This window comes from Homo sapiens, chromosome 2 (assembly GCF_000001405.40).
Source record: "Homo sapiens chromosome 2, GRCh38.p14 Primary Assembly".
Classification (NCBI taxonomy): domain Eukaryota; kingdom Metazoa; phylum Chordata; class Mammalia; order Primates; family Hominidae; genus Homo; species Homo sapiens.
The window spans coordinates 183,121,345-183,139,117 of NC_000002.12; the positions used below are offsets into that span (position 1 = coordinate 183,121,345).

The 17,773-nt window shown below is 38.5% G+C and overlaps 1 protein-coding gene and 1 long non-coding RNA gene across 10 annotated transcripts in view, besides 1 other annotated feature; one reads left to right on the plus strand and one right to left on the minus strand.

The window, feature by feature from the left end:
* Window positions 1–17,773, plus strand: part of NUP35 (nucleoporin 35) — a 44,167-nt gene that overhangs the window by 3,831 nt on the left and 22,563 nt on the right. For 5 of the 9 annotated variants that reach the window (XM_011510577.3, XM_011510576.4, XM_047443270.1 and 2 more), the window contains 3 exons: window positions 6,943–7,113; window positions 9,074–9,201; window positions 12,222–12,279. In XM_011510577.3, coding sequence (XP_011508879.1) covers window positions 6,954–7,113; window positions 9,074–9,201; window positions 12,222–12,279 — 346 coding nt within the window. In that variant the 5' untranslated portion in view covers window positions 6,943–6,953. Of the gene's footprint in view, window positions 1–2,183; window positions 2,483–3,098; window positions 3,154–6,942; window positions 7,114–9,073; window positions 9,202–9,650; window positions 9,774–12,221; window positions 12,280–17,773 lie in introns of those variants that run through there. The other 4 variants (NR_109856.2, NM_138285.5, NM_001287585.2 and 1 more) reach the window with 3 other exon arrangements.
* On the minus strand, window positions 2,573–3,613 carry LOC124907917 (uncharacterized). The gene is made up of 2 exons (XR_007087331.1): window positions 3,449–3,613; window positions 2,573–3,363 (listed from the first exon to the last, which is right to left on the minus strand). It is a non-coding gene; the product is annotated as an uncharacterized LOC124907917 (long non-coding RNA).
* Window positions 3,149–3,917: an enhancer, noted in NCBI's record as "NANOG-H3K27ac-H3K4me1 hESC enhancer chr2:183989221-183989989 (GRCh37/hg19 assembly coordinates)". NCBI's record gives its function as "activates a minimal SCP1, AML or CMV promoter by ChIP-STARR-seq in primed H9 embryonic stem cells {active_cell/tissue: H9 hESC(primed)}" and the evidence as "EXISTENCE:reporter gene assay evidence [ECO:0000049][PMID:30033119]".

Below are 17,773 nucleotides of genomic sequence, written 5' to 3' on the forward strand. Positions count from 1 at the left end.
ATTTTGAAAAAATGAAATGAGAGAGAAATTAGCACATGGTAGGTAGGTGGAGGAGCAAGGCCTAGGGAGGGTTTCAATTCTGGGCTTCTTTATAGCTTGGTAAGGAAAGAGCCTGTTGAAAGGGTAAAAGATTGAAATGCAGGTAAAGAAAAGAAAATAAATGTCTTAATGGAAAAAAGTTTTTAATTTAAAAAGTAAAGAAAATAGGGCTGGGCGCGGTGGCTCACACCTGTAATCCCAGCTCTTTGGGAGGCTGAGGCAGGTGGATCATGAGGTCAGGAGATCGAGACCATCCTGGCCAACATGGTAAAACCCTGTCTGTACTAAAATTCAAAAAAAAAAATGAGTTGGGTGTGGTGGCATGCGCCTGTACTCCCAGCTACTCGGGAGACTGAGGCAGGGGAATCAGTGGAGGTTGCAGTGGAGTGCCAGAGCTGAGATCGTGTCACTGCACTCCAGCCTGGTGACAGAGCGAGACTACATCTCAAAATAAATAAATAAATAAATAAAATAGCAATAACACCTGTCATCAACCACAAAATTGTATAAAATAAGTTAAAGGCCATTCTTTTTATTATTATTATTATTATACTTTAAGTTCTAGGGTACATGTGCACAACGTGCAGGTTTGTTACATATGTATACATGTGTAAAGGCCATTCTTAAATCCTCCAATTTACAAACCCTTTTCTACTTTACTGTTAATAGTTTGGTGCAAATCTTTTTCTTTTTCTTTTCTTTTTTTTTTTTGGACACAGAGTCTCGCTCTGTCGCCAGGCTGGAGTGCAGTGGCATGGTCTTGGCTCACTGCAACCTCCACCTCCTGGGTTCAAGCGATTCTCCTGCCTCAGCCTCCCAAGTAGCTGGGATTACAGGCATGTGCCACCATGCCCGGATAATTTTTGTATTTTTTAGTAGAGATGGGGTTTCACCATGTTGGCCAGGCTGGTCTGGAACTCCTGACCTCGTGATCCGCCCGCCTTGGCCTCCCAAAGTGCTGGGATTACAGGCATGAGCCACCATGCCCGGCTGGTGCAAATCTTTTTCAACATCTTCTTTTATTTAAAGAAGTATCACTCTTTTCTCTTTCTCTGCATCTGTTCCTAAATAAACCCGTTATTAAATAAAAATGGTGCCGTATATGCATGCATGTTTTCAAATTACTTTTTTTCATTATATCTATCACAGAGGTCTTTCTAGGTTAATATTTACACTCATATCAAATCCATCTAATTCATTTTAGTTGTTGTATAGTGTTCTTTTGTTTGGCTAGATCATAATTTGTATAGAAATTTCTTTTTTATTTTGTAGAGAAGTGGGGTCTCACTATCTCAAACTCCTGGACTCAAGTGATCAACCCCTCAGCCTCCCAAGGTGCTGGGATTGCAGGTGTGAGCCACCACATCTAGCCTCAATGTGTGTAGAAATTTATACATTGATATACCTTTCTTGGTAGCTTAATTCTAAAAAGTGGATTGCCCTGTGTTGTGGGCTGACTACTCCCCAAAGATATCCATACACTAAGCTTTAGAATCTGTGAATGTTACCTTATATGGCAAAAGGTATTTTGAAGATGTGATTATTAACTTAATCACCTCTACTGAATATTGAAATAGTAAGATTATCCTGGATTACCTGGGTGGGTCCTAAATGTCATCACAAGGCTATGTGATGGCAGAAGCTGAACAAAGCAGTGTCAGACAGACCAAAGATGCTACATCGTTGGCTTTGAAAAAGCAGGAAGGTGGCACAAGCTAAGAAATATAAGTGGCTTCTAGAAGCTTGAAAAAGCAAGGTAATAGATTCTCCCCTGGAGCCTCCAGAAGAAAATAGTCCTTCTGGTACTTTGATTTTAGCCCTACAATACTCATTTTGGATTTTTGGCCTCCAGAACTGTAAGAGATACATTTGTGCTGGTTTAGTTAACCGAGCTTGTGGTACTCCAATGTGACTTTATCTGAACTTTATTACATCTGCAAAGACCCGATTTCCAAATAAGGTCATATTCATAAGTATGAGGGTTAGGACTTGAACATAAATTTTTGAGGGACACAATTCAATTCACACACCCATTTTCAAAAAGTCAATTCGATCTGTGAGTGGTTTTAAAATTTGATTTCTGTGAACCTACCATTTAATTCTGGAATTGTTACTGCCTCATTCCAAAGACAAAATTCTTCCTCCATTTGAGATTTTAGGAAGTCCTAGAAGAAATAGCTGAGCATGGGTGGATATTTTGGAAATAATCCTCATGGTATGGAGCAGAGAACGTCCCCAGTTATACATATGTAGCACATTATTTTATAAAGTTAGTATTTGAGCAAAACTAAACAATATATTTTTACACACACATATGCAGAATATGTGTATGTGATTTACGTATGACTATGCCCTAAAGAAAAGCAGCAAAGTGAGGGGACGTGGACGGCAGGGATGGCACATGCAGAAGCACGCAAGATTCCGCGGTGTGGAGGGTTCGTGGGTGCGTATAATTATCTTCCATTATTTACATGTGTACTTTATGCGTTCGTTAGCTATATTTTTGTATGTTTTAATATGCAACAAAACGGCGTATGAGTTACGCTTTAATGTAAAATTGTCTACATAACACAAAATTTAAAAGAAATGGCATACGGATAGTAGAAAACATGCTTTGAGGAAAAAGCGTCATGTACTAAGTCCAGAAATCGACATTGCAAAGAGGCACCAACTGTTTTCATCAAGCTGACTTTTCCAGGTGCTACTCAGAAAAGCTGACCGATGATAGAGCACTGGGTCAACTCACGCTAATTATGAAACCGTGAGTAAAATAATCTGTGCTTCTATGTAACTTAAGTACCCACAAATCAGGAAGCATTCCCGGATGAAAAGCATTCACAGAACCATACGCTGGTTCGCCACCTTCCCGGTGCAAAAACCCTTTCCTCGGAAATTCTCAGCGCAAAGACTTTGCCCTATTCCAAAATGGCTCCGGCGCCTACAACTTAAGCATAGCGCAGGTCCGGAAGTTACGCAACCCCATAAGGTAGCACGCCGTTACCCGTGGGGAGCGTTTCCGCCATTTTTGAAAATTAATTGGGAAGGTACTGGTTTTAAGTGTAGTTGCCGACGCAATGGCAGCCTTTGCAGTGGAACCTCAGGGGCCCGCGTTAGGTGAGTGAAATATTGCTTTTCCTTGCTGGCACTGCCATCCATGCTCTGGGCCTGGAGGCGGGCAAGACTGAAAGGCAGTCGTCAGGCTCTCGTCTGCTGGTTTCAGTCGCGGAGAGGGAATCCTTGGGTGCCCCCAAGTTCATAGTCGGTCCCCTACTCGACGCGTCGCCTCCATACTGCTACAAAGGTGGCGCCGGGAAGCTGAGGGCCCTGGGAGGGTGAAGAAAAGGCCGTCTGGCGGTGACTGAGCTGTGTTTGTGCCCCCACACGCCAGCCACGTTAGACTGGCCCATACCTTAACCTCCTTCTGATACCCGAGACGCGATGCTGGTTGCTGGATTCCCAGCTGGTTGCTGGTCCCCAGAAGCATCCCTGGGAGGAACTGACCGCGGTACACGTGGGTGGGCGGTGCCCTGAAGTGTGTGGGTGCAGTCCACTGCTTCTTGATCACCGGTGCTTCCAGTTCCTGTTTTGACTCCTCTCTCCCGGGCTTTGCCAAAGGAATCTTGTTATTAATGGAAGCTTGAATCGTGCAACATTTAATCAACCGTGTGGTTGGTAATCATTGAGATATTGACCTTAACAGCAAGCTAGGAGTTCGCACGATATTTCCCGCCTTTATTTGGGGAAAGTGACTCTTAAGTATTGTAGGAGGTATTTTTCTCTAGTAAGTCACGATCTGAATTTTTTTAAAGATTCATTCCCATTATTCATTGCGGAGCCTCGTTGAAATATGTCGTCTTTGAAAAAAATCTACCACTTTAACAGCACGCGGATTTCTTTTTTTCCTGCTGAGTTTTGCGACTTGTGAGAATCGTCGAAAATTTTAGAACGGAAAATAAACCGTCTTACTGTCATAGAGACTTACCTGAAAAGTTAGGTTATAACTTTCTGAGCTTGGAAAAGAGAGCAAATGTAATATATATGGTGTGGAAAGAGTCTTTAGATTTGAAGGGTATGTAATGCTTGCCATGTTTGGTGTAAAATAAGTTCTTTTTGAGAATAGAGTAACTTGAACTACTTTAGTCTGTCATAAAAAAACTAAATGCATAATGTCAATAATGCAGATACTCTGCATTAAAATTTATATATAGATGTCGTCTTGGTATTTATTTTTAATGTATTTTAGAGATCAAAAACTCTTCATTTCCAGTTCCAAATTTTTCTATTCAACAAAAACATTTTGGAGTGCATATTTATTGGGGTTACAAATGTGAGTAAACCAATCCCTGTATATTGCCTTGCCAGAAATCTGACATTAGCCAGTATTAATGTTTAAGTCCACATTTTGCAGATATTCCAGGTGCCCACTGGTGTAGTAAAACTAAGGGTTGACTTCAACAAACTGCTAGCTGAGTACGTATCTTTTGGGAGCACAGAATATGAAATGGAATTGAGGACATGCAGCATCTTTTCCTTAAGTTTGCTTTAAGTGAAATTTAGCCTGAGGGGTGGTTGGTGACAGTCCTGATTAAGAGCCCATTGTGCCCTCCTTCCTGTCTGGTGCTTTCTTTTTTCTTTTCCTTCCTTCTTCCCTCTCTCCCTCCCTCCCTTCCTCTTTTTTGACACAGCCGTGTCACCTGGGCTGGAGTGCAGTCGTGCAGTCTCAGCTCACTGCAACCTCCCCCTCCGGGCTCAAGCAATCCTCCCACCTCAGCCTCCCAGGGGCTGGGACCACAGTGTGCCGCCACTCCCAGCTACTTATTGTATTTTTGGTAGAGACAAGGTTTCGCCATTTTGTCCAGACTGGTCTCGAACTGAGCTCGAGCGATCCACCTGCCTCGGCCTCCCAAAATCCTGGGATTAGAGGCTTGCGCCTTCTACTGTGTCTGTATGTATCCAGATACATCAGAACTTTTCTTAAGCCAATTCTTACTTTATTTTGCTATAATTTTTTTTTCTTTTAGGGAGGGGGAGTGAATGTAGTGAATGTTACCAAAAACTTTGCGTTTAATATGGTATTCTGAATATCTGTTAAGAATATGCTTTTGTTTAGACTTTTGGTTTGATTTTAGTGGATCTTCTTACGAAATATTTCTACAGTGCCATGTAACATAGTAACTAGCACTTTATAAAATAATTACAATGTAATTAGAGTTTTTCACACCTTGTTTTAGCATTTGCTTTATCCATTTATTGAATTTGTTTTTTTTTTTGTCTTTTATACACTTGTATTGTTAATATCTAGGCCTAATATAATGGGAAATAAGAGGAAGACTAAATAGTTGGCAGCTTTCGGATATTAAGAAACAGATTGTTAAGGCCATCTAGAAGTTAAGTAATAGTTAATAAAAAACCATACAAATAACATAGCAAACATTTGACCCTTCTGAGTGCAATGAGTCACACTCAGGCTTGTCACCTAGTTGAAAATTATTTTCATAAGCAGAGATTGCAAATTCTACATTTATACTTTACTCAGTTTTTGCTATTATAAAATATTTGTAGAAAATAATAATTCGTATTTATTGAGCACCTGTGTATCAGGTACCAGGTCAAGCTATACTTGCTATAATTCTAACAAAAGCTCTGTTAGTGGATGCTAGCTATGCTTATTCCCTTTTACTGAGAGAACTTGAACCCACATCTTTGACTCCATAGCCCATTGTTTTCCTTATTCTGCTATTTTGCTCTGAAATTAGAATTATATAGCTCACTCATCTTCATAAGGGAAATAATATCTACTCTATAGATTGTGAGGATTTATTTTGTATCAATTGTGAGGTTTCAGTTCTCTAAGTTGGCTTTATATTAGGGGGATATTTAATGATGATTCTTTAATTTTTTTTTTTTTTTAAATAAAAAAGATGAGATCTCAGTGTGTTGCCCAGGCTGGTCTTGAACTCCTGAGCTCAAGTGATCCTCCTGCCTTGGCCTCCCAAAGTGCTAGGATTGCAGGCGTGAGTCACCATGCCCAGCTGTGATTATTCTTGACTTAAACTAATGATTAAGAAAAAAGATACAAAAATAAGTTTTCGACTCTTTTCAACATGTTTCTGAGTTAGGGTGCTAGTTATCACTGTTATTTTGTAAGTGCTCTAATATATGCATGGTTACGGTTTTATCACAATAATGATGAACTTTTTATGGGGAAGAAAAAGAAACAATTTAGCAAGCTTAACCCATTGTGTTTGATATGCTAAGCTTTGTATGTATAAGTAGTGCAGCCTGTCCTTGTTTTTGGTTGTTACATAGTCCAAACTGATTCGGAAATGGAAAGAAGTTATTAGTGTGATTTTTAAACCCCTGAAATAATGTAAACAAAAATAGCTGTCACAGATAAATATTGTGCTGCCAGGTGTACTGGCTTCACACCTTTAATCTCAGCACTTTGGGAGGCCAAGGCTGGTGGATCACCTGAGCTCAGGAGCTCCAGAGCAGTCTGGGCAGCATGGTGAAACCCCATTTCTGCAAAAAAATACAAAAATTAGCTGGGCGTGGTGGTGCAGGCCTGTAGACTTAGCTACTGAGAGGCTGAGGAGGGAGGATCGCTTGAGCCTAGGAGGTGAAGGTTGCAGTGAGCTGAGATTGCGCCACTGCACTCCAGCCTGGTGACAGAGTGAGACTCGGACTCAGAAAAAAAAAAAAAGTGAATACAAGATAACTTTACATTTTTCTAGAAATATTTTTTGTTGGCTTTTAAAATAATAAATTCAACTATGGTTCTATTATATCTAAAAGTTTTGATTAAATTTGCAAAATTATGTTAGATTCTTGCATGTTTTTGTCATCAACATGTAACAGAAACTGTAACAGAAAAGTCCTTAATTTATTTTTTGATTCATGTAGGATCTGAACCAATGATGCTGGGTTCACCCACATCTCCAAAGCCAGGAGTTAATGCCCAGTTCTTACCTGGATTTTTAATGGGGGATTTGCCAGCTCCGGTGACTCCACAACCTCGATCAATTAGTGGCCCTTCAGTAGGAGTAATGGAAATGAGATCACCTTTACTTGCAGGTAGGTGAATTGCTTAAAATAATTTTATAGACATGCTAGATACAGGGATGTCCAATTTTTTGGCTTCCCTGAACCACATTGGAAGAAGAATTGACTTGGGCCACACATAAAATACAGTAACTCTAATAATAGCTGATGAGCTAAAAAAAAAAAAAAATGCAAAAAAAATCTTAAAATGTTTTAAGAAAGTTTACCAATTTGTGTTGGGCAACATTCAAAGCCATCCTGGGCTTCATGCGGTGTTCAAGCCATGGGTGGGACAAGCTTGTGCTAGAATTTTTAAAAGTGTAGTGGTGCAGCATTCACCCTCATCAATACATTAATTAAAAAAAATTAAGCAATGTGTCTATTATAAAGCAAAGCTTTTAAGGCTCTTGGAATAGAGGTGTAAGAAGTATAAGCTATAATTTCTAGAGCCACTAAAATGTATTCTATGTTTTTTTCATTCTAAGATGCCTTTGAATTGGCTTTTAAGTACCACTAGGAAAGATAACCCTAAATATGACACAATGCTAAGATGCCATTTTTTGTAAAATTTCTGTGTCGGAGATGTCAGAGTGTGGTGGGGGAAGAGTGCCTCACAGAGTTGATGAAATACCATCATTTAGCTTCAACTGAATTCATTTAAAGTAATTCATCTTAAGATACAAGAATAGGAAATAATCGGTCAAAAGAAGTGTAACTTGAAGATGTAGATACGAATTCTGCCTTTAGTCTTAGTGAATTGAGATTCTCACATATAGCGTGTTTAAGGAAACTTGGGGGGGAGGTTTTATACACAGAATTTGTGATTGTCAGGGCAAAGTATTGTAAATGCAGCCTGTGTTTATTACAGAACTCCTTTAGCAAAGAAATACTTTAAAAAATGACTTCGAAGTTTTAACTGAGTAGTGAGAATTAGATACAGAAGTGTTGAATTCTAATTGTGAGCTAATATCCTTTAGTAGTAGTTCAAGTGAAAACTCTTTTTACCTTAATTGCCCTTTAAAGTATTTTTGCTTTAAAATGGTTTATTATTTAGGATTTATCAGGGAGAATTATAAATTATATTTGAAGTAATTCATTTAACATTAAACATTAAATTTCAAATGTGTTATTTTATTATGGTAGCCAACGTATATTGATTGCTTATGAGCCTGGCAGTATGCTAATCATTATTTTGTCAATCTTAAAGGGTAGGTAATAGTATCCCCATCTTTAAAAAGAGAAAACTGAGGCTAAATGCAATAAGTAATTTGCTGAAGCTCACTTGCTAGTAAGTGAGCGAGCGCTATAAACCTCAGGTTAGTCTTATTCCATAGACTGTGCTCTAAATAGCTTAAGCTGTACAGTCCAGGCTCAGACATTAGTCTTACCGATGGCCTGGGCTGCATCACTATTTGACATTGCATGTTCTCTGATCGATAAAGACATCTTTATGTCACAGAACTTGGTCCTTTTACTACATCTTTATTATGTACTTAAATATATTTCTACTGTGAGAAACATGAATGGGATCTACTTAATCTAGATAGTCAAACTCTACATAGGGAATTGTATTTATTCAGGAATCTACAGACTGGAGCTGTTTAGTACCTACTTTCAAGTGAGAAATGGGATCAAGTTTTGTATTTAAATGTTAAGCGTTTTGTAGAGTGAGCAAAAGTTACATGTGTTTTCTGAAAACTAAGATTTTCATTAACTACTTACTCTGAATCCTTTTATTCAGAGTGCAGTCTATGGATCAGCAGCATTGGCATTACCTGGGAGCTTATTAGAACTGTATAATCTCAGGCTTCACCCTACACCTTCTGAATCAGAGTCTGAATTTTAACAAGGTCCCCAGGTGACTGTTCAGCATATTAAAGTTTGAAAAGAACTAACAGACAAGATTTTAAGTCAGTATTTCAAAAATATAAATTTAAAAAATCTTACCAAAAAGAAGAATCCCTTTTTTTTTTTTTTTTTTTGTACACTGTAGGTGGGTCACCACCACAACCAGTTGTACCAGCTCATAAAGATAAAAGTGGCGCTCCACCAGTTAGAAGTATATATGATGACATTTCTAGCCCAGGACTTGGATCAACACCTTTAACTTCAAGAAGACAGGTAATATAAATACCCTTTTGATCCCCAATGAACAACATCATGGTTTTATGTGTCTGTTCAGTGAGAGTCAATACTTTGAAATGTTTCCCTGAAGTCTGTTTTAATGTAACTGTGTTGCACAGAATAAACATTAAACACATCATAGAATCTACTTAAATTGTGTTGATGATGAACTGTACTTAACAGTGTAGAACTCTAGATTTTCTCTCATAGGTAATTCTCAGGTGTTTATAGGTATGCCTTATCCACCTGCCCATAGCTCCAACCTACTTAATATACATGTAGAATGTGACTATGGTTTAAATCATTCTGATTGTTTAAGAAGTTTAATATTTAATATTTAAAAATTATGTGAAAGAACAAATGAAAATTTAGAGTTTCATCTAGATCTAGGGCACTCGTCAGCTGAGAAGTAGTATGGACTTGTCTTTATTTTCTTCTTTTTTTAGGGTCCCCAACAGGGTCCTGATCAGTTGCCCAGGCTAGAGTGCAGCGGCACAGTCATAACTCTGCAGCCTTGAACTCCTGGGTTCAACCAATCCTCCTGCCTCAACTGTCCTATTGGGATATAGGCACGTGCTGCTATGCCTGGCTAATTGTATTTTTTTTTGTAGAGATGAGGTCTTGCCGGATTCAGGTGATCCTTGCACCTTGACCTCTCAAAGCGCTAGATTATAAATGTGAGCCACTGTGCCTGGCCGACTTTTCTTTTAAGTAGAAAATTTAGTAGCTTCATAGACACAAGTGTTGTTTCCTATTATTATTGTGCTTAGTAGGACATATAAACAAAGTTTATCAGTTAAGTTGGTAAGTTCTTTATATAAAGATATGTCTGCTGTTTGCTTTAGATATATGTTTTATGCCTTTCCCTAAATTGTATTTAGTGAAGTTGAGAGTTCAAGAATATTAGAAAGCATTTTTCAGTGGATTCGTGCTATTTATAGGCTTGATATGTCTGGCATACTAGGCTTACTTGTCAAGTAAAGCAAAATTCATTCACTGTGGTAAACAGATTACTGTTTCTTCCCAACACTTCTAGACCTGCCTTCCTGTCCAACAGGAGCCACTAGCTAAGTGTGGCTATTGATACTAAAGATATAGCTAGTCTTTATTGAGATACACTTTAAGTATAAAATACACACCAGAGTTTGAAGACTTAGAAAGAATGTAAGGTATCTTATTTTTTTATGTTGATTACATATTGAAATGATAATGTTTTGGATGTGTTTGGCTAAATATTACTAAATTTCACCTGTTTGTACTTTTAAAATGTGCCTACTAGAAATGGTAAAATTACACGTATGGAATTTATTGTTCCTAATGGATAGATATCCTGGTCTGGGATGGTTTTCTAAAGGTTGATAAGTAAAGCTTATGATTAGTTTGGTATGAAGGCTGGGCGTGTTGGTGCATGCCTGTAATCCCAGCACTTTGGGAGGCCGAGGTGGGCGGATTGCTTGATTTTTATGTATTTTTATTTATTATTATTATTTTTTGAGACAGGGTCTTGCTCTATCACCCAGACTAGAGTGCAGTGAAATGGTCATGCCCCACTGTAGCCTCGACATCCTGGGCTCAAGTGATCCTCCCACCTCTTCTCCCTAGTAGCAGGGACTACAGATGTGGACCACCATGCCTGGCTAACTTTTGTATTTTTTGTAGAGATGGGATTTGTCCTGTTGCCCAGGGTGGTCTTGAACTCCTGAGCTCAAGTAATCCACCTTCCTTGGCCTTCAAAAGTGCTGGGATTACAGGTGTGACCCACTGTGCTGGGCTTTGGGCAGATTGCTTGAACCCATGAGTTTGAGATCAGCTTGGGCTACATGGCGAAACTCTTGTCTCTACTGAAAATACAAAAAAAAAAAGGCTAGATGTGGTGGTGTGTACCTATAGTCCCAGGTACTCAGAAGGCTGAGGTGGGACGATTGCTTGAGCCTGGGAAGCTCAGGCTACAGTGGGCTGTGATCGTGTTACTGCACTCAGCCTGGGTGACAGAGTGAGACCCTGTCTCAAAAATAAAATAATAAAAACTAAAAAATTAAAAAATTGTTTGTTGCAAGAACCACTGGCTTCTAAATTTGTGCAAGGTTTTATTACTTCTCTGATGATACAGACAAAGGCTTACAGATATTGCTGTATTCAAAATGTTTGAAAGACTCGTGGGTCATAATTTATAGAGAATGTTTTTGATTTGAAAGTTGGTAAGAATATTATTGCTAGATTAGAGCCCAAATTAGTTATGCCCCCTGGAATTTGCTCAGTTTGCTTTCTAATCATGAAAGAATTGGCATTAATAATTGAGGAATAAATTTTATATCTCTCCCAACATTCTCTCAGCATTTAGTTCTGGTTGCTAAATGAAGCTATTTGAGATTTCCTTAGTTTAATTAGAATCTGTTTTAAAAAATCTTTATTGAGTTCTAGAGAGATTCTGTTCTCATTTATTGATTGGATATTGTCTTTGTTTTAGAAGGATTTTAAACTATTTTAATCCTTAATTTTCTTATATTTAAAGGAACTAAAATGGATAATTTACCAGTTTTGGAACTTTCTACTGGTAGTGGTAGGGATATGCTGTCTTTTATTGTTTAGACTGATTTGAATCTATAGTGTTTCATGGTTTCTAAGTATCTGTTGAAAATCAAATTTTGTCACCCTTCTGTTTTTCTGTATGAACCTGGTCATTTTAAAAATTACCATTATCTCTGTTATTTCAAATATTGTACATTAGAAACTAAAAACAAATAGTTAACATGTCACCTTTTACAGAAGATAGTCTTTTTTTTTTTTTTTAACATAATATGACTTTTCTTATTTTAAACAAATACTAAGGGATCTAGTAAATTTTAGGTTAATACTGTTTAACTTATGGGGAAAAAAGAGTGCCTTTGTACTTTGAGCTAATTAGAGGCATCTCTAGCACATGATAAAAATTCAGTTATCCATTGAATGAAGCCTTTTAACACTTACTGTATTTATGTTTTGCATTTTTACCATAACACTTTCTTCTGTTTGTGTAGCCAAACATTTCAGTAATGCAGAGTCCTCTTGTTGGAGTTACATCTACTCCTGGAACAGGTAAGTGATTCTTTCTTTTTTTTTTTTTTTTTAAAAGACAGGGTCTGGCTCTGCTACCCACGCTGGAGTGCAGTGGTGTGATCACGGAGTAAACAACTCTGACACCAAATACTTCTCTATTCTTCGAATGAATTTAATATAAAATGTTTGTTGGTAACTGCCAAAATTTTTTATTTTATATTTCAAACTTGGAGATTTTCCAAAATCTATAACTTCTTTCAGGAAGGAAATACTTTGTATATTGATTATTTTCTGAATCAAATCACCCTAAAGGTATGGTGGGGTGAATATTCAGAATGTCTTTTTAAGAAATTGTATACTTAATAGATGTTTGAAGTATCTCCTTAGTTATTAAAACTTGTCAATAAAAAAGCCATTGGAATTGGGATGAAAAGGAATAGTTAAGACACTGAATAATAAAGGTGTTTTGAGAGATGTTAATGCATAGTTATAAATCTAAATGCCGTTGAATAGAAGCAACCACTGATTATATACCTAGTTTTTCTTTAAGATTAATGGCTTTTTAATAATCATCATTATGCTTAGCACAGTTCTTCATATGTCGTCATATGTGTATAATCCCATCAAATGTTTATTCAGCAAATATTTGAGCACCTAACTGTGTACTCTGGGAAATAGTAAACAAAATAGATATTCCCTGCCTTTATGGAACTTACATTTATTTGCAGAATTTACATTTATAAACAAAACAAGTAAATTATAACATTTGTTAGAAGGTATTACATTTTGTGGAGGAAAAAATTAAGCAGCAAAGGGGGGGAGGGGGTAGAGACTTAGAGTTTTAAATAGGGTAATGTATTAGTTTTCTGTTGCTGCCATAACAAACTACCACAAACATAAAAGTGGCTTAAACAATACACATTCATTATCTTTCATTTCTGGAGGTCGGAAGTTTGAAATGGGTCTTGGTGGGCTAAAATCTAGACATTGGTAGGGCTGTGTTCATTTATGGAGGTTCTAGACAAAAATCTATTTTTCTTTTTTTTTTTGAGATGGAGTCTTGGTCTGTCGCCCAGGTTAGAGTGCAGTGGCACCATCTCGGCTCACTGCAACCTCCACCTCCTGGGTTCAAGTGATTCTCCTGCCTCAGCCTCCCGGGTAGCTGGGATTACAGGTGCTCGCCACTGCGCCTGGCTAATTTTTTTTTTTTTTTGTATTTTTGGTAGAGATGGGGTGTCACCGTCTTGGCCAGGCTGGTCTCGAACTCCTGACCTTGTGATCTACCCACCTCGGCCTCCCAAAGTGCTGGGATTAAAGGCTTGAGCCACCGCGCCCAGCTGGCAATAATCTATTTTCTTGCCTTTTCCATTTCTAGAGGCTACTTAATGTTTCTTGGCTTATGGTTCCCTTCCTCCATCTTCACAGTCAGCAACTTTGTAACTCTTTGACCATTCTTCTGTAGTCATATCTCCCTCTCTCTTTTAAAGACCCTTGTGAATACATTGGGCCCTTCTAGATAATCTAGGATAATCTTTGTATTTTAAGGTCAGTTGATTAGCAGGGTTAATTCCACCTGCAACCTTAATTCCCTTTGCCATGTAATGTAACATTCACAGGTTCCAGGGATTAGGTCATGGACATCATTTGGGGACCTACCCAGCTTATTCCACCTACCACTGATAGTTAGGGGGCAAGTAAACTTTACTCAAAAGTCTGTAAGTGAGGGAGGTAGGGAATAGTATTCTAGACGGAGGGAACAGTGTGTCTGGGGTGTTCAAGGAAGAATAAGGGGATGGTGACTGAAATGGAGTAAGTGAGGGGGAGAATAGTGGAAAATGAGGTCAGAGAGGAGAGGTAATGGGGGCAGATGTATTACATGGCCCTGTAGGTTATTGTCACAATTGGTCTTTACCCAGAAAAGGTGGAAGACAATAAGGATGAGACTGTTGCTGGGTTCAACTAGTTTGGGAGTAAAAGTTAGCTTAGAAGCAAGGAGACAAGTTAGGAGGCTACTTGTAGCAATCTAGGTGAGAGATGATAGTGATAGAAAAAGTAGGCAGGCAAGAAGGGAAATAATACAATAACAGGGAAAGATGGAACATAAGAAACAATAGCAAGACAGTAGATTTTAAACTAAGCAAATCAGGCATGTGCCTGTAGTTCCAGCTACTCGGAAGGCTGAGGCAGGAGGATTGCTTGAGCCCAGGAATTCGAGGTTGCAAGGGAGCTGATTTTGTCACTGCACTCCAGCTTGGGTGACAGAACAAGACCCTATCTCAAGAAAAAAGTAAATAAAAATTTAAAAAAAAAAGCACGCAAAAAAACTAACCAAATTAACAATGATGTAAAATGTATTAAACACTCTGGTTAAGGCAGGTATTGTCAGAATGGATAACAAAAGGAACACCCAATACAAATTGGATCCTTTGAATCCTCCAAGTCTGAATTTCTTGAGGCAGTCTGTGAGCACTCATTGGCCGTGTCTTTAAAGTCTACATTTCTAGTAAAATGTTCTTCAAGGAAACTTAGTCATTTTCTATCACGATGCTCAGAATTCTTCCAGCCTCTACCCACTGCCTGATTTCTAAAGCCATTTCCACATTTTTACTTGGGTGTTAACAGCAGCACCTGACTTGTTCCAAAATCTGTACTAGTTTTCTGTAGTTGCCATAACAAATTACGACAAACTTAGTGGTTTAAAACAATACACGTATTATCTTCTGGTTTCTAGAGGTCAGATATCTGGGCTGTTGGTTAGAGCTCAGATGTCAACAGGGCTGTGTTTCTGTCTGGAGGCTTTGGGTATGAATCTGCTTCCAAGCTCCTTCAAGTTGTTGGCAGAATTTAGTTCTGTGTGGTTATAGGAATGAATGAGGTCCCTCTCCTTGCTGGCTGTTACCTTAAGATGTTAACTTCTAGAGGCTGCCCTCACTCCTTGGCTCATGGCTCTCCATCTTCCATCTTCAGATATAGCAATGGCAGATCAAGTCCTTTGTTATGCTTCATATATCTCTAACTTTACTTTTCTGCCTTCTGCTGGTGGTTAGAGCTCATTCGATTTTATCAGGCCCATGAGGATAATCTGAGATAGTTCCTTATTCTAAAGTCAGCTGAGTAGTAACCCTAAGTTCATCTGCCAAGTTCCTTCACGGCAGTACCTGGATTGGTTGATTGGATTACCAATCAGTCAAACCAGGGGACAGAAATCTTGGAGGCCTCTTTAGGCTGGGCGCAGTGGTTCATGCCAGTAATCCCAGCACTTTAGGAGGCTGAGGAGTGCAGCTCACTTGAGGCCAGGAGTTTGAGACCAGGCTGGCCAATATGGGGAAACCCTGTCTCTAGTAAAAATATAAAAATTAGCCAGGCATGGTGGTGCACGCTTGTAATCCCAGCTACTTGGGAGGCTGAGGTGGGAGGATCACTTGAACCTGGGAGGCAGAGGTTGGAGTGAGCTGAGATCGAGCCACTGCACTCCAGCCTGGGTGATAGAGCGAGACTTTGTCTCCAAAAAAAAGAAATCTTGGAGGCCTTTTTAGAAGTCTGTCTACTGTGTATGTCATGATCAAACATCTAGAATGTCACCCTAGTCTTTTCAGCCATGTAACTGAGGTTGAATGTCTAGGAAAATTAGTGCTGAACAGCCTTAAGCTGATCAAACTGTAACAAATAGGTGGATGATGATGCTTTGTTACACGCAGAAATAGTGATTATTCAGTTATTTGAGTCATGCCAGGTGCCACTGGCTCATGCCTGTAATCCCGAGGCAGGTGGATCACTTGAGTCCAGGAGTTTTGAGACCAGCCTGGGCAACATAGTGAGATGCCTGTCTGTACAAAAAAAAATTTTTTAAATTAGCCTGGCATGGTGGCACACACCTGTAGTCCCAGCCACCTCGGATGCTGGGGTTAGGAGGATCACTTGAGCCTGGGAAGTCAAGGCTGTAGTGAACAGTGATCACACCACTGCATTCCAACCTGGGTGACAGAGTGAGACCTTGTTTCAAAGAAATAATTGAGTCAGTAAGTGATCCCAGGGACATTGAAAATCCAAAAACAGGGCTGAGTGTGGCATGGTGGCACATGCCTATAATTCCAGCGCTATGGGAGGTCAAGGTGGGAAGACCGCTTGAGCCGGGGAGTTTAAGGCTGTAGGCAGCTATGATTGCACCACTGCACGCGAGCCTGGGTGACAGGGAGACCTCAAAGAAAAAAAAAAAGGCAAAAACACATAATGTTAAGTAATGTTTTACATTTTAGTGGCTCTCTTAGTTGACTGAAAAGCATACATTTTAATTTTCCTACCGTTGTCAAGTAGAAAAGCGCATGATTAATGTTAATAAATATCTTTTTGTTAACTTATTTTTTTCTAATATAGTAACTTCTGTGAGGTTTTGTAATTGTAGAAACTATATATGAAAATACAAGAGCTGTGATAGGAAAAATACCTATCATGAATTGGCCACTGGGAGCCACTGCTGCTTCTACTTTGACTTTAAGGAATTTACACATAGAAAGTCTTAATGGGGTATAAGTGACAAAGAATATTTTTGAAAAGATGACAAGGTGTGGAGACCTATCATGCATGGCCAATGATAGGCAAGAAATAGAAAAAGAGAATTGACAGGAAAATTGAGGGGAAAACCTAGATTTTTCATTTAGAGCTATATATATATATATATATATATATTTTTTTTTTTTTTTAGCTCCTGTATTTAGTGTTAAGTGAAGTTTTTTTGGATGATTAGTAAATCTTAGCTTTCTGAGATTGGCAAGTTTTATAAAGAGATGTCATGGGATATAATGGCATGACTGCCACTTTATGCTTAGGTTGTTTTTTGCATCCAATAAAGAGGTTGGTGGGTTTATTTTATTTTGTAAACATTCTGTAACTGATGTTAAGATCTTTTTTAGAATATTATTTCTGGTGCAGGAAAACATTGGTCATAAGTCAAAATAGGAAATCTGGATTAAAGAATATAAGAAACTCTTAGTCATGGTATATTACTGCCCCTGGTAAAGAACATTGAATGTGTTTTTTCTACTTTCCCCATCCTCATCCCTGAATATTTTTTTCTGCTGCAATTTAAGTTTTCTTCTGCTTTTCTTCTTCCTTTATATTTTTTATTACTTTTTTTCTTGAGAAGTTCTTTCACTTATATATTAGCTCTCTTCCAAAATGGTAGGTCACTCGTTAATTAACTAGAATCATTTGTGTTAGCATATTGTTAACAGGTTAAGCGTGATATTAAGTGATAGTAGCACTTTATGGCTGCTTTTGTTGATGCAAGGACCTCAGAGTTTTGATAGTGTTCCTGGAAGTGGGGGCCAAAAGGGACTCTTCTTTTTCTGGTTTGGGTTAGGTACTCCTTACATGTGTTCCTTTTAAAGCTCTCTGTTTGGCTCTCATCTGTCTTTATTACCTGATTATGAACTCCTTCAAGACAGAGATTTTTCCTGTGTCTTCAGTGTTTACCCATCTCAGAGCTGGGTACAAAGGACCTAACATTAATCCTGTGCTTTTCCACTTGACAACA